We start from the raw sequence: 23,871 nt of genomic DNA on the forward strand, positions 1-23,871 counted from the left end.
TTATCTGTCAATTTAGAGAAAAGAATAACCATTACTCTAAACCAGGGGTCAGCAAACTTTTACAGTAAAGGTCTAGATAGTAAATATTTGAGGGCTTTTGAGGGCCATACAGTCTCTGTAGCAACTACCCAACTTCGCTATTGTAATGCAAAAAAGCTATTGTAATACATAAATGGATGGACATCACTATGTTCCAATAAAACTTTATTTACAAAAATAAGACGGAGGTCACATTGGGCTTAATGAGCTGCTCTAAGCCATAGAGTACATGGGAATGTAAACCATACTGCTTATTTTTTTTAATTGTATTAATGGCATTTATTCTACTTCCTTTGTAATAGCTAAGGAGTTCCTGCAAAGAAAGAAAAATTAGGGGTTAGTAAATTTGTTACTTATTTGCAAGAATATTCAGTATATATTTCAGGGTTAATATTCTCTAGACTTTCTCAGCATAAGAAATGAGATGAAATTCTGTTGATGTTGTAAATACCACTATTGAGGCTAATTCGTGAAAGAAAGGTGACTACGGTATTTGATGAAGTACCTTGTCTTCCAAGAAGTTTGCTTTTGTGGTATTATCTGTGGCACGTTATTTTCTGTCTTGGTACTTTCTCTCAGTGGGATATTTAGGCTCTACTTTCCTGCTTGGCACTTTTGTTAATAATGACTTTAAAAATCCTCACTTCTCTTTTTAAATTGCTGCATGGAGTAATAGCCTCTCTCCTTGACAGTCAAAAGGCCAAGAAGTGCAACTATGTGAAATAAACTTTTAAAACAAGGCCCCAAGTGCACTGCAAGTTGACTTGAAATAATTAGTCCCTGGAGTTTGGACACCCACAAAGTATCTTTCGGAACTCGGATTCAGAAATGTCTCAGTGACAGCCTGTGGCGGGAAGCCATCACAGCAGCAGGGCCCATTGCTCTTGGGACATCCCACACTGTAGAGTTACTTTGGCAGTGCCTGGAAGCAGCGGCCCCTGCCCACATGGCTTTTCCACTGTCTCACAGCCAAGAACCATGACAGGCCCCTCAGAACTTGGGCCCTCTCCAGTCCTTGAGCCAGTGTTCACCCTCACAGGAAGAGTGTTTCCCTGTTTTATCAGCAAGTAACAGAAAACCCAGATGACTGCAGCTTACAAAGTAAAGACATTTCTCTCCCATTACAAGAAGCGTGGAGAAAGCATGTTGTAGAGGCTCAGTGTTGTCACAGAGGACCTAGGACCCTTCCACCTTCCTATGCTGCCATCTCAGTGTTGGGGGATGACTTCCCTCATGGATGCAAGAAGGTTACTGAAACGCCAAGTATAATGTCACTACCTCATGTGGCACCGTGCTTTACGGTAAGGGGGTGAGCATAAACAGAGGGGATTCCAAGTGCTGTTCTGTTTGAGCAGGGGACATTTTTCCCAGAAGCCCCTGGTGGTTTTCTTCTTGGGACCTGCTTGCTTGAACAGCATCACCTGCCTCTGGCATAGGGGAAAGAGATTGCCGTTATTGGCTTAGACCAATCACTACCTTCCCTGGCACTGGACACATGCCACATCAGGGTTCTACTGGAAGACAAGAGAAAGGGATGGCTACTGGGGGAGCAGCCAACCCAGGTCTGCCACACCCAGCTGAACCCCCTAGACAGTGGTCAGAGCACCTTTTGCTTTGACCGAGGAATCCCAAGCCTTGCCAAGAATCTATGGCCAGTCCTCTGGGATTATTGCCAGCAGTTTTTTCTGTTTGTTGATCATCTGCAGACACCTGATTCCCTGTCAGTGCTTTTTCTGTTTGACAGGACTTCTTGATGCCCACCAGGATCGAGCTTGCCGAGTCTTTTGGATGTTGTGTGTTATCCACCCAGCCAAGTCTTTTTGGGGAATATTTATGGAAATATTTATATATAAATAAATAATATTTATATTTCCAGAGGTGCTCTGTACCTCTGTCTATCCCTTTTGGGGGATAGGTAAGCCACTTTGGGGCCCTCAATCCCTTAACAAAAATAATTTCATTTTTCTTAGTAAAATCATATAATGTCTGCATTTTTCCTTTGCAGTACAGAAATACATGATTGGTATTTTTTAATAGATTACTTTTCTGGAACAGATATTATTTTGAAAATTTAAAATAAATTTGAAGAGTTCTCTTCTACCAGTCTTAATTTCATGGAATAGTTTAAATATTATTTAATTCCATGGTCTAAACTATTGGCTCTTATTGTCTTTTTTTTTAATATTATGTATATAAAATTAGGAACTCATTTAAGAACAGCAAGAATTGATTTAATCTGTGAGATGCCAAATGGAGCTAATCCTGAAATACTTTCTATCTGTAGAGATTGATAGTTTACAAAGCACTTTCATACATATTATTTCAGTACTTTCCATAACTATTATCTGCATTTGACGGATGAAGAAATAAGGGTATAAGAGCTGAGGTGACTTGGCCAGGATCCTACCAGCCTTCACAGAGTTGGCACTGGAGCCTGGGCCTTCACAGCCTGCCTCTGAGACACTGTCCTGTTTCTAGCACTTAAGTTCCAGTGTCTATGGCAGCATGCAATAGGATTACAGGAGGACATCGTAGCCACAGATAACCCGGCCATGTTACCTGTTCATTTCAACCTCTGCGACTAGGCCCAGATTTCTCAGGACATTTCCTTCCCCATGAGCTGAATTTTAACATGCAAATGTCACTCACATCCTACAAGCTAAGGTGTATGGGTTTATGCTGGGACTAGGTCATATCTGTATTTTAAAAATCCCAGAACAACCCCAGCAGTGGTTTTAGAGATGAGGAAGAGAGGAGACAGAACAAGTTCTGCTGGTTACCCTGCTCTTGGACTTCTCAGGTGCTTCATTAATATCATCTCTGATGGCATTTTGATGCCATTTTTCTGATGGCATTTTGCAGCTTGCCTCAAGTGTCCCTTCTGGTTTTCTAATGTAGGACAAAGCCCAAGGATGAGTGGCTGCGGTTGCCAGTCAGCATTCTCTGCAGATGTCTTTGGTGTGTGTAGCTGGGGTTAACCCGCCGTCTTAATGTCTGCCTACTCGGTTTTGCATGCAAGGATACATTATACAAGAAAATTCCATCGAGATCATGTACAAGTAAAATCAGCTTATTTTTTCCGAAGAGGCAGGGGAGCTACTTCTTAGCAGAGTGAGCTGTAGAGTCTCTCTGGAATGCAAAACACAGACCTTTGTATTAGAAGTGAAATATTTAGATAGGGATCATTATGGAGCTCTTTTTATAGCAAGGCAGGCCTGAAAAACAGAGAGAGAGCTGGGAAAGGAAGCACAAAGGAGGTAATAATATCTGATTAGCTAAGCAGCTGGATAACTGAAGGAGAATTTGTTAAAAACCTATCAAGACATCAAAGCTAGATGTGAGTTGCTCTGTTAGCCCAGGCCACTTGTGGAGCCATCTCTGGAATATTACTGAGCATCTAATTTGCTGCTATTTTTTCCCCTAGCGTCACTCCTTCACTAAGGGATCTGAGCTGTAACCTGACCTGTAGCTGTCATCAGGGCTTTTTTTCCATCCCTGTCATGGCATGGGATCCCAGTATGGAGAAGCTTAGTTGGTATTCAAGTCATCCGCATCGTACTTGACCACGTGTGAACAAGTAACCTCATGTTTCTGGGGACAGGCAGGGAGAAACTTGAGAACTTGATCCCCTTGGGGGCCCTTGGAGGATTGCTTCCACCAAGCCCTGGGTTTTGCAAGTGACTCGTTTCCCAATCTATGGCACATCCAAGCCTCTTTGGTTTTCTTTTTCCCTGTTCACACGGATATATTTGAGGCACCATACTCTATCTGCCCAAGAAAGGAAGAGGGGCAAGGAAAACCGTGTAAGTCATGCTTGTTTAAATATTTTGGCTTCTGCCAAAGCAGATATGAGAACAATTGGACTATAATGAGAGTTTTCCATTGGCCTCAACTATCCTGGACAGTTGAACGCCAAGCCTAGTTTGATAGGTACCTACTATGGACCTGGTGGAGCTCCTTCTTAAAATTAGACAGTGTGTACTGGCCAGAATGTCTCAGCTTGCAGCCTGAGGATGATTATGCTGATCCTGGAGGCCCTGGGGAACTGTCTAGGGCACTAGGGGTGCCTGTGCTAACAGCAAAAGACCACTCCCCCCCAACACCACACTTGCACATGCCTCATGCACAGAGGAAGTAGGTGCCAGGTCTTTTCAGAGAAGAGCTTCAAAGCCCTGCTGCCACCTACGAGAGCCTTTGATCCATCTCTCGGCTGAATCCAGCCCCTCACGGGGCTGATCCGCTTTGAAACCAGAGCCAGCAGCCCCTCTACAACTCCCTCTGAGTTACCTCACACAGACAAGAGCACAGGCTTCTGGGGGGCTTCTTTTTATCTTCCCTAAATTGCGAGAGGTACTTCTTTCAGCGTTGTCCTATAGGATTCTTAAGAACTGCCGGGGAGATGTCTTAGGGCCAACACAAAGAATTGCAAACAACAGCCCAGTGTCTTGGAAACTTTCTCTACAGTTTAGTACGGATAAACCACATGCAGATAGAAAATAGGAAGAAAAGGAAATTCATGGTAAGCCTGCGTATTTTCTTATTTCGGGTGCGAGGGGAGTGGAGAAATCCGTCATGGATAAAATCCAACTTTAATGACAGTCTGAAGCCCTGAAGCACAGACATATTGCAGAGCTAATGTATTATTTTGTTTTTGTTTATTCTGCAGAAATGGGGAAATTTCATTTTTTAGTAGAATTACAAGCTCCCCTTTTACTATTCACAAGCCCTAACATGCATGGCATCCTGAGCCAGAGAGCCTTCCGTGATTTTAATACCAGCTTCTTTGTGAATCTAAACTGGTTTTCCAGTCCACTCCCTGGCGGGCCACGGGGGTTGTTGGAGTGGTGTTACACATACTTAGCTTTCTTTGGGTGCTTGACCACCGCCTGTTCTCAGGGGGGACAAGGAGCCTTGCTGTGGGCATTACCAGTGGGAGGTAGGCATGGACAGTGAGGTTCGGCACCTGACCTCTGAATTCCCGCGGCCCTTGCAGGATATCACGCCCACGACTGGCGGTCCTCAGCCTGAACTGCGCGTTGGAATCACCTGGGAAGCTTTAAACATACTAAACCTGGGCCCTGCTAAATGACACCCGTATTCTGATATAATGGGTCTGGGTGTGGCCTGGATATTAAGATTTCTGACTTTCCCCTCCCACCTAGGTGATTCCATGTGCGGTCCGGGCTGAGAGCCACTGTCCCGCAGCCTCATCATACAGCTTGCCTAGGTTCCACGGCTGTGTCACTTCCTGGCCATGTGACCCCGGGCATGTTAACTGAGCTCAGCTTCCTTGTTTGTAACATAGGGGAATCACTGCAAGATTCATTACACCTATCTCCTAGAGATTATTGCAGGGGTTCAAGTTATGGACATTACTGGGAGGATACCATGGACCAGACACTGTTGTGGGACCTGGAACTGTTATGGCTGGGAAAAAAAGAGATCAGAGTCCCTGCCTTTGTGGCGCTTCTTTATTTTCTAGTCATGGATATGGTGGATAAACAAACAAACTTGCATATACATAGTGTAATGTCAAATCGTGGGCAGTACTGTGAAGGGAAAATATGGCCAAGGGGAAGGGTGGCAAGTGGCAGGAGAGAGTGCATGCACATAAAGGGCACATGCAGTCCCGGGCTGTCAGAAATGCAGGCAACTGGCTGGGCATGGTGGCTCATGCCTGTAATCTCAGCACTTTTGGGAGGCCAAGGCAGGTGGATCATTTGAGGTCTGGAGTTCAAGACCAGCCTGGCCAACATGGTGAAACCCCATCTCTACTAAAAATACAAAAATTAGCCAGGCATGGTGATGCATGCCTGTAGTCCCAGCTACTCTGGAGGCTGAGGCAGGAGAATCACTTGAAACCAGGAGGCAGAGGTTGCAGTGAGCCAAGACTGCACCACTGTACTCCAGCCTGAGCAAGAGAGTGAGACTCTGTCTCAAAAAAAAAAAGAAAAGAAAAAAAGGAAAGAAAGAAAGAAATGCAGGCAACTGTGCATGGCATCCTTGGCAGGGTCTACAGTGTTGCAGTTCCTACCACTTCACCCTGGGTCAATGAGATCTCAGTGTGATGTCTTTCTCTAAACAGATTATAGACACTCCCTCAAGACAGACCTCAGACTCTGTGCAAGCCCAGGGCCCGGTCGCCATCTGTGTGATGAATCCAGGCACCTAGCTCCGTGCACAGCTTCTCAAAGTGAGCGTAGATTTGGAGAGAAGAAGGGATAATCAGATGTTTCATTTACCCAGGTACAACAGATACGTATTGAAGGCCTGCAGATGGCAAGACCTGGTTCAAGCACAATGGGGCAGAATATGAGGAAGGCCCACCCCTTCCTTTGTCTCTTCCCCCACAGCCACTACAGTTCCTTCCACCAGTGTCAACCACCACCGTGGCAGAGCATTTCCCGTGAGACAGGCCGCAGGCTACATACATTATGTGCATCCTGTCGTCATGTCCTCACCAGGGGAAGTAGCTGTTGGTTTATTCAACCCCATTTTACATGGGAAGGCTCTGGGGCTTTGTCATGCTATCGTTTGTTCATGTCACCCCAGGCCACACAGCAGCTAAGTTGGAAAGTGTTTGCTGTTAGCCTGCATTGTTGTCCTTCCATGAGGGACCTAACGTGCATACTAAAGGCCTACTATGTGCCAGAGCCTGGCATTTCACCATTAAGTCACTGAATCCCCATAACACTGTGCAGATGGAACCTTCTCAGCTTTCCTGACCATCCCTTATCTTGGGCTAGCCCTCATGACACATGTCACACCCTGCAATTACCTTCTTTATTCATTTGTTGACTTTTATTTGTCTTTCTCCCCTACTAGAACATCAGCACAGACAGTGGACTGTTATCATTCACTCCAGAGCCGGCATTTGAATGGAGATTAGCTGGCATTCTAGATGCCGCCTAATTACCTGACAGGAGAAAGAAGACCAGGACAGAAGCAGCTGAAATTCCAGGCAGAACATAGGTTGTTTCAGAAGAAACACAAACTCTCCCTGGCGGCGTCTGAGGCCATCTTCTTCAGGAAGGTGTTTCTTGGATGCACTTCAAAGCGTAGGGGGCTTCACAGGTAGAATTAGGTTGCAGGAATGAGGGGAAGGTAGTCCCCTGGAAAATGTGAAAATGAGGGTTGAGATGCAGGCAGGAAAATTCAGGAGGACTGTTGAGTGAATAGTCGCTCCCTGTGGCAGGTGACCAGGGTGGGAGGAGGGTGGCAGTGTGAGGACATCCTGAAACACACACGCTTTGGACTCAGATCTTGCTGTTGTAGCTCCGCTACCTGATCAGTCTGTGACCTTGGGCAACTTCCTTAGCTTTATCTGTGAAATGGGAATAATAGTGTCTTCCCTTCAGTGAGAACCAAATGAGACAGTACTTTCTGTACATCGAATGCTGGTGTAGAGCAGTTAGAACAAATCTGTAGATCTGTAGATCGATGCTGGTGTAGAGCAGTTAGAACAAATCTGTAGATCTGTAGATCGATGCTGGTGTAGAGCAGTTAGAACAAATGAGTCTGGGGAGGTGGACCCAGGCTGTGTTGCACGAGCAGGGCCTCTGCACAGGCCCAGCACTGACCTCAGGTTTAACCTTTTACTTGAGGTACGGGAATGGCTTTTTGGATACTGTTGTTTGAAGAAAAAAAAAAGGTCATGAATAAAACTTAGAATACTAACAACCACCCAGAAAGCCAGTCCCATCTCTGCCCAGTAACGCCTTCCTTTCCTGCAGGAAGGTTGGAACCTTCCACAGTTCCACCAGGTATTGGCCTGGTGGACCAGATTGAAAGGGTGAGCAGACAATGGGGGGGCAGACACCTGAAGCCAGAGATGTGGGCCAGGTGGGGGCTGTCGGCCCTTCCCACAGGCCCAGGCAGCTGCGCTGACACAGCTGTCCCTTTGAAAGTTGGCCCCGAGTGGGAAGCTCTGCATTATTCTCCCAGCCCACTGCAGAATGCCTTCTGCCCATTGCACAGTGGCAGCGTGCTTTGGGCAGCTTGATGCTGGGGCTGCATGGAGGGCCTCAGAAAAGTAGGTAGACTCGTAAGACGGGCTTTATCCTGGAACAGGCACCACCACCCTGCCCTTTCCAGAGCCAAGCTATGGACATGGGTCCTGGAGAGGCAGAAATGTCTTAAGGGAAGGAAAGGGAAATCCTAATTACTACCTGGGAAACAGTCCTCATTTCCAAACCCAGCAGGTGACCTGCAGGATAATGTGTGGGCAGTGATTCATTAGAAGCTGTAATCCCCAGTGTTCAAGCGAGAGTTGTAACTGTATCTAGGGCCTGAGAGAGAGAAACGGGCTTCATGAATTACTCCTCTGGCACCGTTGCCTACATACCTAGGCCTGTAGCAATTTATCCCAAATGAGGAAATAATAATGTCATTTTCCTCCAGCCTTTCCCTGGGAGGAAGTTCTCTAATAGAGGGTAGGCAGGTGTTAAGAAGAAATCTTTCTGGGCCACACCTCATTACAAGATTGGGATAAGTGAGCTCTTTTTCAGCTTCTGCCTCTCCTGTCCTTGCCTTGTCAGCAGCAGGGTTGGGAGTTAGGCACAGGGCATGGTGGGAAAGAAGTCTTGCTGGGTTCTCAGTCATTGCAGTTGGTTGTTTTAGGTAAAGTAAATTGATGTTGTGTTTCTTTTCCCTAAATATTGACTGTTGAACCTAGTTGTGGAAGAAAAGATACCTGTATTTTGCTCTTATTACTTGCTATTCACTGCTACTCTTCATCTGGAGGTCACTAGCAATTTTTAAACACTTATCCCCATTTTACAGATAGAAGATAGTAAGTTCTATGGAGGAATGAAAGGCCTTTTTACAGAGTAACTGAGGTTCCATATGTTGAACTAGAATAAAGTTTAAGCTCCTGACCAGGTGCGATGGCTCACGCCTGTAATCCCAGCACTTTGGGAGGCCGAGGCAGGCGGATCACTTGAGGCCAGGAGTTTGAGACCAGCCTGGCCAACATGATGAAACCCCGTCTCTACTAAAAATACAAAAATTAGCCAGGCATGGTGGTACACACCTGTAATCCCAGCTACTTGGAAGGCTGAGGCAGGAGAATTGCTTGAATTCTGCCAGGAGGCAGAGATTGCAGCAAGCTGAGATCATGCAACTACACTCCAGCCTGGGCAACAGCGGGACTCTGTCTTTTAAAAAAGAAAAGAAAAGAATAAAGTGAGCTCCTATAGCAAGTGGAGCCCCACAGGAAGAAAGGCTTCAATGGAACGGACGTTGACTTCTCGTCCATCCGACAGTCTTATGGATCTTGCTGGTTGGCCCTGACTCCCCTTACAGTGTCTTAGGGACCCCGTTCTTTTCATCTCGTGGCTTTGCCATCTCGTAAGCCTCTTACTTTCTATATCCACCCAATCATGGGGAGGAAGACTCAGAATTGACACTTAGCACCTCTGCCATTGCCAAGAACTAGTCATGTGACCTTAACTACTAGTGAAAGGCAGGGGTGGCCCGGAAATGGAGTCCTTCACCAGACAGTTGCTTACCTGAGACAACATGCATGTACCTGTGAAATGCGTATACTGTAGAAGGATCATGAGTTTGGCACATAATTAGTGGATAATAATCACTACCACGTCTCAGAATGAGTGTCAGATAATTAGTGGACCATAATCACTACCACATCTCAGAATGAGTGTATTTGCTAATAGAAATGTGGTTTTGGCTTAAGTCACATTGTCAGTGGTGAATGCAGCCTAAAATTGAACTCAAATACCCAGGCCATAGTTGTTTTCTGACTCCACCAAGGCAGAAATGAAATTGTTGAGTTTGAGAGTAAGTAGATGGGGCCAGCCAAAGCAAGATGGACAGAATGACATTCCTTTACTGTCCTTATTGACAATTTATGGTTCATGCAATAGAAAAGAATCTTAAAAGTCTCTCTTTAATATACAAGAAGAGAAAGACCCCTGGAAACTTGTCTTTTCATCATTCGAAACCTACCTTATCCCTTCAGTCAAATGCAGTGGTACCTGTAAAGCTCACACACAGTTTTGCATCAAATGATTATGTGGTCAGCCATGTAATAAGTGGATTCAAAGAAACGTATATTTAAGGTGGCCACTTGCCCCTGGGGTAAATGGCAGCTGTTGGACTCTGTGGGATTTTGTGTTGTTGTTGAACTTGTAAAGTGATGAAACCTCATAATTTCTCTCCTCTTTTAGTTCCCTCTCTGTCTGAGCAGCTGTACTGAAGTTTGTCAAACATGCCCATTAGCTTTCACATGTAAAGATGGCCTTTTTATATTCAAATTTTAGTAATATATTATTTAATCATTAGGCAGTTTACTAAGGGTATATTTGTGGCCATTGTTCTTTCTGAATGCCTAATCACTAAAGGAAAACATTTTGGAAACAAGCACTTTCTTCCAGAAACTGTGGTTTCCAGGAGAGAGAGTCACTGGGAAGATTGGGAAGCCATCAGTGGCATGGCACAGAGACACCATGGATGCTGCTGCTAGACCAGCCCTGACCCAGTAGTAAGGCCTAGCCAAGGACACATTGAACTCCTTGAAATTGCTGATATTTGGTCAGGCACGGTGCCCCGCGCCTGTAATCCCAACACCTTGGGAGGCCGAGCTGGGAGGTTTGCTTGAGGACAGGAGGTCAAGGCCAGCCTGGGCAACATAGCAAGATCCCCGTCTCTACCAAAAATATAAAAAATTAGCCAGGCGTAGTGATGCACACCTGTAGTCCTAGCTACTCAGGAGGCTGAGGCAGAAGGATCGCTTGAGCCCAAGAATTGAAGGTTGTGTTGAGCTCTGATTGCACCACTGCACTCCAGCCTGAGCGACAGAGAGAGACCCTGTCTCAAAAGAAAGAGAAAAAAAAATGCTTATATTCAACAATTTTTGTCCTTCCAAACAACAATTTCATCATATTCAAACTAATACAAAACTGGCTTCCCAAGGAGGTGTTTGTTTATAAGGCTACAGGGCACCATTTTCCTACCACTTCTAACATTGTCTTATAGGAGGTTCTCTGAAATGAGAAATGCAGATCTTTTTTTTCTTCTTCTCCTAAGACAGGGTCTCGTTCTGTTGCCCAGGTTGGAGTGCAGTGGTGTGATCATGGCTCACTATAGCCTCAACCTCCTGGGCGTAAGTGATCCTCCCGCCTCAGTCTCCTGAGTAGCCGAGACTACAGGCACACATCACCATGACCAGCTGTTTATTTATTTATCTATTTATCTATTTATTTATTTATTTATTTATTTATTTTTGTAGAGGTAGAATCTCACTGTGTTGATCAGCCTTGTCTGAAGTCCTGGGCTCAAGTGATCTTCCCGCCTCGGCCTCCCAAAGTATTGGGATTACAGGCATGAGCCACCACACCCAGGCAGAAACACAAATCTTTAGTGAGGTAGCATTCCATTTAGCTACAGAAGCACTCAGCATGCAGTTGACCTTTAAACAACTCGGGTTTGAAATGCATGGATTTTAGATGTGGGGCTTTTTAAACCAAACTTGGATCAAAAATATGGTATTCACAGGATACAAAAACCACATATACAGAGGGCTGAATTTTTGTATGCATGTATTCTGCCGGGCCAACTGTGGGACTTGAGTATGCACAGATTTTACTATACTCAAGTGTCCTGGAACCAATTCTTCACATATACCAAGGGACAACTGTAATGTGAACACAAACCCATAAACAGTGCAACATTACCAGCTTTCCCAGGATGCATGTGGCTGACAGAGGAGTCAGCATCAAGAAGGGCTCCACTGGCGGCTGGGGGCCTCTGAGCTGGAGCTTACTGACAAGTGGAAGATGCCCAGATGATAAGGTGCCGTGACAGATTGTGGTGGTAGCATTGTGAGCTGGTTGACAACACAGAACTCTGGAATCAGATGGCCTGGATTCAAATCCTGGACTCACCCCTTATTGGCTGTGTGAGCTAAGGCAAGTTACTTGCCCTCTCTGTGCCCCAATTTCTTCATCTGCAAAATGGGAATAATGATAATGGCATTATGGTTTACTGAAAGGATTAAAAGAGTTAATATGTTTAAGTACTTGGAACAGCATCCAGCACGACACTAAGTGATATGGAGGTATTTGCTATTTTTATACAGAGCTTAGTGGCATGAAGAAGTTAGACAAGCAATGAGGAATTCAAGGTGGTGTCCTGGAGTAGAAGAGAAATCGGTTCTGGAAGGGAGACTTAGATTACAGGACAGACAGAGATTTGGGTGTTGTTTCCACGACTGGAAGAAGGCGACAGTTGGCAAATACCCACCTATGTAGTGATGTCCAGCAGAAACTGTCCTGAGACCCATCTAACTTTGTCATTCCACTATCTCTCTGTCTCTGTGCTTTCTCCTGCCCTTCTTCCTGTCTCAAAACCTCTAGTCCTTTTAATTATAGGAAATGTTCACGTTTTCCCACCACATTTTTTTTTATATATGTCTGGGTGTAGGAAATTTCTGTGCACCCCCAAGGACACCTGCAGCTCCTCTCTCTTTGAGTTTGGTGTATGCCGGGAGGGTAGTCAGAAAACAGCCATAGCCCCCTCCTTTGCAACTGTTTCTGCTATAGTCTTTTTGATGGTGCAAGGTGTACCCTAGGGCTGATTGTGTTCCTGGGAGCTGGAAGCTGTTACTGCAGGGTTAAATCAGCAACAGGAGAGCATCACTCCCAGCAACCTCAGAAAGAATAGAGAATGATGTTGTTGAAGGGAGCAGGGAGCTGTGTTCCTAGTGCCGTCTTCTTAAAAAAAAAAAAAAAAAAAGTTTCCTTCCCCCCTCTTCTCTCTGCCTTTCCACAACACACCTTGTACTAAATACATTTTTCAGACCTGACTTTGTGCAAACACAGTGTTGTTCGGCAAGCATTAAAAGGCAATTTAGTACTCAAAGGATTAAAAGCTCATGTTAAATTGAAGACTACACTTGGCATAAACATTAAAAATTGACAGAACACCCCGCACATTAACTGCACCAGGGCTTCGTAATTAGCATTTAAAAGTAAAACATCATTTCCTTACTGTTTCCTACTTACTCATTTATAATGCATTTATTATAATACAGATGTGAGCAAGAGGCTTTCTCCCATCATCAGCAGATGAAAAATATACCTGTGCTGAGAAAGAAACTGGGATTTATTAATCCAGCCCAAAAAGCAAAACCAATAAAGAAATCTCTCACTGGGCTGATTTGAGAGATTCAAACTACCCCTTGGAAGATTGACACAAGGCCCCCAAAGAAATCGCCTTCACACTTCTTTTCCTTTTCTTAGCCTTTCACTAACAAATACTGGGAAGAAAATCCAAGTAAGCTTCAGCCAGGCACACACTTGCGTTTAAAACTGATCAACTGGCAGGTTACCAAAGGAATGTGGAAAAGAGCTTGTTGGCCCATTGCTGATGCTTCTTCAAAACTTTGGTAAGACTGGGATCCAATTTTCTAACTCAGGGAAATTCTGCTGACTTAACACAGATGGCTGAATTTGTAAATGAGGACACCTGTTCATGACACCTTTGGGCTCCTGCTTAAAATCAGGGTTTAGTTTTTAGCATTACCAAATTTGTAAAATCTGAATGCAGTCCAAATCTGATTTTATGTTCTTCCTCCAGAGTTAATCCTAAATGTGCCACCATTGCGGTCTTTGGACCTAATTCTCGGCCCCTTCTTAGTATGGTAGGTAGTAATTCCCAAACTCTAGCATGCATCACGATCACTGGGGGTCTCCCTAAAATGCACATTCTGCCTGAGCAGGTCCAGGGTGGAGCATGAGATTCTGCATTTCTTTTTTCACCTAGGCTGGATGGAGTGCAGTGGCACAATCTCAGCTCACTGCAGCCTCCACCTCCTGCGTCCAAGTGGTTGTCCTGCCTCAGCCTCCCACGTAGGTGGGACTTTAGGTGTGTGCCACCACGCCCAACTAATTTTTGTACTTTTAGTAGAGATGGGTTTCACCATGTTGGCTAGGCTGGTCTTGAACTCCGGACCTCAGATGATCTGCCTGCGTCAGCCTCCCAAAGTGCTGGGATTACAGGCATGAGCCACCGCGCCCAGCCAGATTCTGCATTTCTAAAAAGCTCCCAGGCAGTGCCAGTGCTGCTGGCCCCAGGACCACATCTTTGAGTGGCAACGTTGCACAGAAGACTCTCATCAGTTATCAGTCAGTGGATTCAGCTCATCAAATGTGAAAGACCCCCAAATTGCCAGCTCCCTGTGGTAAACCCATGGCAATGACTAAGACAACCAAACACAGTGCTTGCCCTGAATGAACTTATTCTAGAAATATCTGAGACCTTGTTATCTTTCTCAGGCCTCTCCTACTGGACCTCGTTTGTCATGTGTGATTGCGAACACCTTTCCCTGATGTTATCTAGAGATCCTGACAGGCATGTTCTGCTAAAACAGACCTCCCAGGCTGTCCCCAAGTGGCCTCAAATTCCCCAGCTGGGGCACCTTAAGTTTATCACGTTAGGCAGTTAACAGGACAAATATAATTTCTGGGCCACAAGGCCAGTCTGGGTGAACGCATGACATAAGGGTGTTAAAAGTGGAGGGGAATTCCGAAAATAGACTTTACTCTTGTCAGAATGGTGCCAGGGGCTGGCCCAGCCTGTGGAATGCCTCAGCGCTAGAGGGCTTGGGCAGTAAGGCACGCTTCCCTGGGGAGGGTGGTGGTGGCTGGGGAGAGGAGAGCCAGGTTCCCAAGAAAGTAATTTGGCACCTGCTCTATGGCAATCCCTTACAGGCGAAGAGAGAAAAAGGAGGCTTTGGGACAGATAGGGGAATTTTCTGATACAAGCAGTCCCCTTGTATTTTCTTTTCATTGTCGTAATGATTTGTAAAATTCCAGAAATGTATTCGTGCCCCTACATGACTTGAAAATGCCGCTGTCTCACTAAGAGCCATGGGCTAAAACACACCCGAACAGCGGTCAGAAGTGAGGCTCGCTGTCTCTGAGGTGAGGACAACAGCCTGGATTCCCGAGTCAGGCTCACATCTAAGCCTGGCAGGGCCTGGAGGGCGGCAACGTGTGGTTTGCAGGTTCGTTCATTACCCCAGTGTTTTTTATGGGAAGATGCTTGGGTGTGTTTGTGGGAACAGAACCCTGATTTTAATTACATCCCTTCTGGTTATTCAGATTATAGACTTCTAAGGATCTTGTTTCTCTGGCTTTCTTCTGCCCTACAGAGGGACACAAGGGTTCAGCAGAGAAAGTGCCTGTGCTCTGTGTTGACACATAGAAGCAGAGAATTTTAGAGCAGAAAGGGACTTCAGTGCATTTAGTCCAGCACCCTCGAATTATAGGTGAGGGAACTGAGGCTCAGAGAGATTGAAATGACCTGCCTAAGGTCACACAAGTAGGATTAAAACCCAGGTCTCGTAAACCTCTCTATTTTGTACATCATGCTGTCTGCACATAATTATTTCTTTTCAGATATTTAATAAAAGTCACAATCAGAGTTAGTCCATTTCTTGTCTCTCCTTTGAGAGTTGAAGTCATCGTGTGAATAGCCATAATTACTGCATTTTCTGTGCGTTTCTTATTTGATTCTTCTTTGGCACAAGGGCTCTGAGGATGCTTCAGCATTGTACCAGGCAGAAAAACGAACACAATTAGCAGATTCAAACAGATGCACATCGCATCTCACACAGGTTAATAGGGAATGTGCCTTTCTAAAGCGAAGGAGCCAGGGTTAAACAGGGCATGGAAGAATTCAAAGGGTAAAATGAATATGATTCACATACTTGTAGAGTGGCCAAGGAGGGCCTTATTTTTTACTCTTCAACAAAACAGAGGTTTGGCGCTAAAACCACAAAGTAACGTTCACTGTAGGCGCACCTCAGGCACACCCCGTCCCTGCTACGCTACACGCTGCCTGGTCTCTGTAGACTGTTACTGTCTGAGGACCTCCTCTCACAAACACTTATTTAACAATGGCACTTTGGCTTTTTAATATTTTATTTGATTTCTGTTTTATGGTATTTTTAATTGAACCCTGTTTTAATTGCCTTTTCTGCACACCAAGAGCCTAGGTGGGGAAGGAAGGCTTACAAATGAAATGATTATTGTTATTACTTCCTTTCTTTCTGCAGCGTCTTAGTCAAATTATAAATTGATTCCATCCACATATTAGCCCCGATCCTCATATGCATGTGTCAGAAAACAGAAAGTGTTGAATAAGGAGGCTGAAAATTTTCATCTAGCTGAGAATAAGATTTGTCAGCATTATTACAGAGTGAGGAAAGGAAATTGGGGCTAAGTTCTTGCCGTCGAGTTGAGCAGAGTACTTGGTTCCGGGTGACACAGCCCACAGGTGGGCAAGGTTTCATAAACTGAGAGCTAGAAGTGGCCTAGAAAAGACATTTAGTCGCTCCCTCGTGTCCAGTCATAGCCCAGGGCAGACATAGTTTATCCTGCACAGCCTTGGCTGACACCTCCATAAATAAGGGGACCTTCCTTTACAGCTTTTCAGAGTCTCAAGGGCAGCTACACAGTTGCCCTTAGGATAAAAGAATAAACAACCCTCATCCCCTTAAACTTCTGCCCCTCTTTACCCAGTGCCCCCGCATCCTGTTTTTTGGAATTTGACCTATTTATGCCCAGGCACTGACTGCAGGGTTGACAGTAGCCACCCTGAAGGGGCCTTGGTAGGGAGTAACAAAACAGGCGGGGTGCGGTGGCTCACGCATGTAGTCCCAGCATTTTGGGAGGCCGAGGCGGGCGGATCACTTGAGGTCAGGAGTTCAAGACCAGCCTGGCCAACATGGTGAAATCCCATCTCTAATAAAAATACAAAAATTAGCTAGGTGTGGTGGCGCACGCCTGTGATCCCAGCTACTCGGGAGGCTGAGGCAGGATAATTGCTTGAACCTGGTGGGGGGATGGGGACACGGAGGTAGCAGTGAGCCAGGATTGCACCACTGCACTCCAGCCTGGGTGACAGAGCGAGACTCCGTCTCAAAAAACAAACAAACAAAAACAAACAACAAAAACCCAGATCTGGCACACACAGAAATGGCTTCTGGCCTTATTACACCCGCTGCCTCCCCAGCTGGGTATTCAGTGGGCAGCCACTCATAGCCTTCATAAAATGACTTAGATTTGATGCTTGAAATGAAAGCTTGTCAATCCTGGGTAACCGCTTGAAGAAAGGAACATTATCCCTTAAAAGGATAGCCCTAGCCCCTAGAATATCTTTCTCACCTTGGGACTTGCTAAAATAGAATTCCTTATTTCAAAGGCAGTAAAATGTTTTGAGTTCCTACTATGTGTAGTATGCTAGGCTAGGCACTACAGGCCAAGCAAGGCAAATAAAACTAGCCTCTTTCCCTATTCCCCTGCATTTCAGAAAAGACAACACATTTCAAGGCTCTGCTTTGCAAGAGACCAGGCACCACAGTTTCCTCCTATCAGCCTGGGCATGGCAAGTAATAACCCCCCCTATGAATGAAGAGGTTGCTGTGTTCAAAGAGGTTAATAAAGTGTCCAAGACCGTACAGTGTCAGTGAGGCAGGGAAGAAATCTGAAAGCTGGTCCCTGGCTAACCTGTCTCTTTGCGTTGTCAACCTGGAAGGAAGTGTCAGATGGTTTGGCGCAGAGCTCTGTCCTTGGGCCTGGCCTGTTTGCAACCTTTGCTTAGGTGAAAAGTGAGAGTGGAAGACACTAGATTGGAAGAAGACAATCAGGATACCAAAAAATATCCCAGCAGACTGAGGACCAGAACGAAAGCCGTGGCAGTGAGAGTGGAAGGGAGGAAATGAGCAAGAGGCACAGGGAAGACAGAGCAGCCTGAGGATTCGGTGAACTGGGTTTGGAGTTAGGGAGGGTGATGGCCTAGGTAAGACCACTGACAATCAGGAGGAAATCCCAATGAGGTCATCTGTAGATTGTTGATTTTTAAAGTGCCAATGGACAATCAGTGCCACACTCCACCAAATGAGTTGGAGATACAGAAGTGTAAGGCAGGAGGAGCTGGAGTCTTGGGAGCCCCCTACTTGGAAATTACAGCGGAAGCTGGGGAACTGGTGAGAGAGAGTCCCCCACTTCCTCCTTTCTAGACATTGAAGGGATACCTGAAGAATCTCAATATTAAAGGATAAGAGAATCCAAAGAAGGCAATATTACTTGAGAAACAAGAGAATAATAATAGTATTTTGTCACGGAAGCCCAGTAACAAAGGGAGAGACAGTCTGCCACTTCTGCAGAAAGAGACAGAAAGGGCCACTGTGTTTGTTAATTAGGAGGTCCTCGGCCAGAGACCTGCTAAGCTCATAAACGTTAAAGGCCAGAGTTACTCTCTTTGGGTGGAACAGCTCCAGGGCAGCTGAATAGATAATAGTCACTGCTTCCTCGAAAGGGTAGGACACATGATTTCTTTTTCTTTTTTTTTCTTTTTTTGAGACGGAATCTCACTCTGTCACCAGGCTGGAGTGTAATGGCGCAATCTCAGCTCGCTGCAACCTCCACCTCCCAGGTTCAAGCAGTTCTCCTGCCTCAGCCTCCCAAGTAGCTGGAACTACAGGTGCCCGCCACCACACCCAGCTCAATTTTGTATTTTTAGTAGAGACGGGGTTTCACCATGTTGGCCAGGATGGTCTCAATCTCCTGACCTCGTGATCTGCCTGCCTCGGCCTCCCAAAGTGCTGGGATTAGAGGTGTGAGCCACCATGTCCGGCCAGGACACGTGATTTTAAAAGCAGGGGAAGCTCCCATGCTAGTCAAAACAACCCTACTACAGCATTCATAGAAGAATAAGATAGAAAATGAGATGGGAGCTTAGCTGGTGACACAGCAGGGCACTTGCTTGCTTGGGTCAGCCCAGCCTAGAAAGTCAGAGGTGACGGCACTAATCAGACTTCAGGGAAACTGGCTGGCTGGTAACACAAATCTTCTGTTTACAGTGAGGAGTATAACCAGCAACCCAACGCGAGTGACCTACATGCAGTAGTTGGCCCATATGCCCCCCAGGGACAATCCCTAAGGAATCCAAATTATAATCAGAAAGTCACTTGCTGACCAGGGATTATAGGAATAAGGGACCTGGGCAGAACTGCCCACTCTCTCCTGTTTTAGTATTGGTGAAACTCTAGTACTGTGCAGGGACTTTTGGTACTCACTTGTAACACTTGATTGTCTTTTTTTTTCTTTTCTTTTTTTTTTTAAGACAGGGTCTCTCTTTGTCTCCCAGGCTGGAGTGCAGTGGCACCATCTCAGCTCACTGCAACCTTCACCTCCAGGGATCAAGCGATTCTCATGCCTCAGCCTCCCAAGTAGCTGGGACTACAGGTGTGCACCACCACGCCCAGCTGATTTTTATTTTATTTTATTTTTTAGTAGAGATAGGGTTTCACCATGTTGTCCAGGCTGGTCTTGAACTCCAGGCCTCAGGTAATCCACCTGCCTTGGCCTCTCAAGGTGCTGGGATTACAGATGAGAGCCACCATGCCTGGCCGGATTGTACTCTTTTGATCCTACCTGTTTCCCAGTGCTGGATTGTGAGCTCTCTGAGAGCAGAGCCTGGGTCTTACTCATCTTTATATCCTGGTGCCAAGTATTCTGTGTTGGTCACAGAATCATCTACTTCTATTTGGAATCATCTACTATTTCTAGAAGACCTTAGTAGAGATAATGGTATTAGTAAGTGCTTCTGTGTTTGGGGTGCCTACTCTATGCCTGCAGGCACATTAGATAAAGATATCTTTAGAGCTAATAGATGCCATGAGGCGTATCCTACAGATAGGATCCTGAGCTTCAGAGATGACAGATCTCATGTAATCAAGCCGGCTTTATGAGGTAGGAGGGGATCTGAACCTGGTCTGCCTCACTCCAGAGCACATGCTCTTCCCACTGGGCCGCATTACCTGGAGTCACTAAGGCCTGTTTCACAGGCCCCTTGACTGGGCAGCTCCCGGCTCTGCTCCGTGGATGTGCTGTGTGCTAAAGGGGCGGTGGGGGAGGGGGGCCCTGAGAAAGGAATGTTCAGGCATTGGTTAAAATAGGTGTCCTAGCCTCTTGTCATGCCTTCATATTCACAAATGTTCATTTCTTTCTTTCTCTTTTTTAAAAAAATTCTTCCTAGGGATGATGACTGACAGATTAATATATGTCTAACTACATGTCTCAGAAATCAAAAGGAAGGTGCTGTCAGAATCACTTGTCAGAAAATGAGATTAGGCGCACTTGTCATTTGCTGAGGATTGCAGTCTTTCAGAGATAAGGTTTCATTTAATGAGGGTAAAAAGCCTCCTTTTAAAAAAAGAAGAGGGAGCGAGGGAGTGAGGGTGGGGTAGGCGAGGAGTGATGATTCTTTTTTCTGGTGTCAGCCAAGTGTTTTATCACCTAACGCGATCCCGCGGCACCTGGTAGCCACTGATAATGGCAACCTGGCCTTCTCCACCTCCTCTGCCGCTGCACCACTTCAAAAGCAGCTGCTTGTTACCTGCTTTTACCTCTCCTTGAAGCTGAAGCTCCTTCTCCTGTGGGAAGAGGGAGCTAAGCATGTACTCTAGATTTAAAAGCAGGCTCAAGAAAGCATGCAGTAGAAAGGAAACGTACAGTCACATTTCCCAACAAACTGGAAAGAATCCACAATGGATTTCAGTGAGATATGGAGCCTGTCTGAGTAGTGAAGGGTAACTAATGAGGAACAGAGCTAGATCCCATTGCAACCAATTGTGTTTTGTTATGGAAAATATTTATCAAGTTCTTTTGCATTTGTTGATTCTCTTACAAGTGACATAGTAAGAGCTCCTGGCATGTGACTTGATGCACCTCCTGCACCCTGCGATTCAGGCTGGCAATTTCTATCCCTTTATTAAGCTTCTCTCTACCTCAGGTGTGGCCTGTGCTCCAGAAGTATTTCAAATTAATCCTCCCCCCCCTCAACTCCCTACCTCCAATCGTAGAAAACTGCCTCTGAAATGAACAACTTTATTGTGGAGAATGCCGGTGATAAAGCAGAAAATCCGTATTTCAGAAATGTTTGGTGACCAGGCGCAGTGGCTCACGCCTGTAATCCCAGCACCTTGGGAGGCCAAGGTGGGTGGATGGCTTGAGATCAGGAGTTTGAGACCAGCCTGGCCAACATGGTGAAACCCCGTTTCTGCTAAAATTATAAAAATTAGCCAGGTGTGGTGGTGCATGCCTGTAATCCCAGCTACTCAGGAGGCTGAGGCAGGAGAATTGCTTGATGAGCCCAGGAGGTGGAGGTTGCAGTGAGCCAAGATCGTGCCACTGCACTCCAGCCTGGGCGACAGAGCAAGACTCTGTCTAAAAGAAAGAAAAAGAAACGTTTGTTCCAGTTCTCTACTCCAAAACTTACTGGTGTAAAGCAGTACCCTTTTCTTCTGTTCCTGGATTTGGTGGGTCAGAAATTCAGACAGGGCCAAGCAGAGAAGCAGTTTGTCTCTGCTCCACCATGACTGGTGGTGACATGAATGGCTGGGGACTGGAATCCCCTGGAAAAGTCTTCACTCATGCATGAGGCACTTGGCAGGGACAAAAGCACCTCTGCAAGCCTTGTCCATGTAGCATGGGCTTCTCACAGAACGGCGTCTGGGTTGTGGGAGGAGTTGCCGGAGGGGTTGCTACCAGAAAGCAAGTATCCCAAGAGCTTGAGGCAGAAGCAGCGAGACTTCTGACCTGGCCTTGGAAAGTCACATGGAGCCACTTCTGCCATTGAGCTGAAGCACTGACAAGCCCACCAGGCTGAAGGAAAGAAGATGGGGACCGCTCCATGGGGCAGTGTCAAAGGATGTGCAGCTGTGCTTTAAAATGATCATCATGCTGTAAAGGTTTCTTTCTACCTGTGTTTCTTCACATCTCACGAACGAAATGGCCTAGGAATGTAAAGTAAATGACATTTGGATGGTTACTGACTTGGTATAAAAGGTTATTCCTCTTCATTAAAAAGAAGAAGAAGAAGAATAAGATATAGGCCAGATGTGGTGGCTCATGCCTATGATCCCAACACTTTGGGAGGCCAAGATGGGAGGATCACTTGAGGCCAGGAGTTCGAGACCAGCCTGGGCAACATGGAAAACCCCATGTCTACCAAAAATTAGCCTGGTGGGGTGGTGCGTACCTGTAGCCCCAACTACTGAGGAGGCTGAGGTGGGAAGATGGCTTGAGCCCTTGAGGTCGAGGCTGCAGTGAGTCATGATGGCATCACTGCACTCCAGTCTGGGCGACAGAGCCAGACCCTGTCTCAAAAAATAAAGAGAGAGAGAGAGAGAGAAAAGATGTAGACAGAGAGAGTGAGCCCAACCACATTAATGGCCCAGGGAGTCTGAGGGGTGGAGTGTCCTGTTCCTGCTCTCTGTTGCTAATGGTTTAAAACAGACTCAGACTTCACTTAAATGGGCACCTTTCTGGCCGGGTGCGCTGGCTTATGCCTGTAATACCAGCACTTTGGGAAGCCAAGGCAGGTGGATCACTTGAGGTCAGGAGTTTGAGACCAGCCTGGGCAACATGGTGAAACCCCATCTCTACTAAAAATACAAAAATTAGCCAGGCGTGGTGGCATGCACCCATAATCCTAGCTACTCAGGAGGCTGAGGCAGAAGAATCACTTGAACCCAGGAGGTGGAGGTTGCAGTGAGCTGAGATTATGCCATTGCACTCCAGCCTGGGCGACAAGAGTGAGATTCCATCTCAAAAAAAAAAGTTCACCTTTCTGTTTCTTTCCAGTCCTTCTCTGTTACACTCTTCAAAAATCGTCTGTACATACTTGCCTCTATGTTCTTACAACTTTGTTTAGAACTTAACATTTAATATGTAACCTAGCTTCAACCCCATTTTCTAACAATTCTCCTGCTATTCACCAGAGACCTCCTAAATCAGCGATCCACCTGTCTTTTCTCAGTCCTTCTCCTCCAGCACCTCTAACACATCTGCCATTTTTGAGTTCTCCTCCTCCTGGAAATCCCTTCTTGTCATTCAACTCTGTCTGTGACTCCTTCCCCAGCGCAGTAAACGTGGACACTGTCCAGGTGTAGTCCTTGGTTGTGTTTTCTTTTCACGCCACGACATTCCCTCATCTCTTTGCAGAAGACATTTGCAACTTATCTGCAAATCCGAGCTCTCTTTCTGATGTTCCACTCCCAAATTTCTGACCGTGGCTAGGCTTTCCTCACGGTCTTCTAAATTCATCTCGTCCCAAGCAAAGTCTCTATATTCCCCTGAAAGCCTCCACATGCTTCTGTGTTCCTGATGTTAACCAGTTCCCCAGCCTTTACATCTTAGCATCGCCCTTTGTGTTGCATCACTGCCACACACTCGTGCGTTCCTTGAGGTTCTGCCTCCTAAGTGTGTTTTCTCACCTTAGCTTTGCCCCGTGTCTCCTGCCATTTTCCTCGAGTCACTTTTCCTTTTTTCTTTTTGTAGAGGCAGGGTCTTGCTTTGTCTCCCAGGCTGGTCTCGAACTTCTGGCTTCAAGTGATCCTCCTGCCTCGGCCTCCCAAGGTTCTGGGATTATAGGCATGAGCCACTGCAGCCCACCTCGGGTGACTTTTCTTAATGCTTCCCTGGATACCTATCAGGTTCTACCTTATAAAATTTTTATAATTTTAGTAGGTTCTGGCCAGGCGCGGTGGCTGACGCCTATAATCCCAGCACTTTGGGAGGCCGAGGCGGGTGGATCACAAGGTCAGGAGATCGAGACCGTCCTGGCTAACACCATGAAACCCCGTCTCTACTAAAAATACAAAAAATTAGCCAGGCGTGGTGGCGGGCCCTGTAGTCCCAGCTACTTGGGAGGCTGAGGCAGGAGAATGGCGTGAACCCGGGAGGCGGAGCTTGCAGTGAGCCGAGATGGTGCCACTGCACTCCAGCCTGGGCGACAGAGCGA

At 46.1% G+C, this 23,871-nt stretch overlaps 1 protein-coding gene across 26 annotated transcripts in view, besides 1 other annotated feature; it reads left to right on the plus strand.

The window, feature by feature from the left end:
- Window positions 1-23,871, plus strand: part of AUTS2 (activator of transcription and developmental regulator AUTS2) — a 1,195,032-nt gene that overhangs the window by 1,055,725 nt on the left and 115,436 nt on the right. The gene's annotated exons all lie outside the window — the stretch shown is intronic.
- Window positions 20,071-20,271: a silencer, noted in NCBI's record as "peak6564 fragment used in MPRA reporter construct". NCBI's record gives its function as "represses an SCP1 promoter by STARR-seq MPRAs in K562 erythroleukemia cells {active_cell/tissue: K562}" and the evidence as "EXISTENCE:reporter gene assay evidence [ECO:0000049][PMID:32103011]".

This window comes from Homo sapiens, chromosome 7, assembly GCF_000001405.40.
Source record: "Homo sapiens chromosome 7, GRCh38.p14 Primary Assembly".
In the NCBI taxonomy this organism is placed as follows: domain Eukaryota; kingdom Metazoa; phylum Chordata; class Mammalia; order Primates; family Hominidae; genus Homo; species Homo sapiens.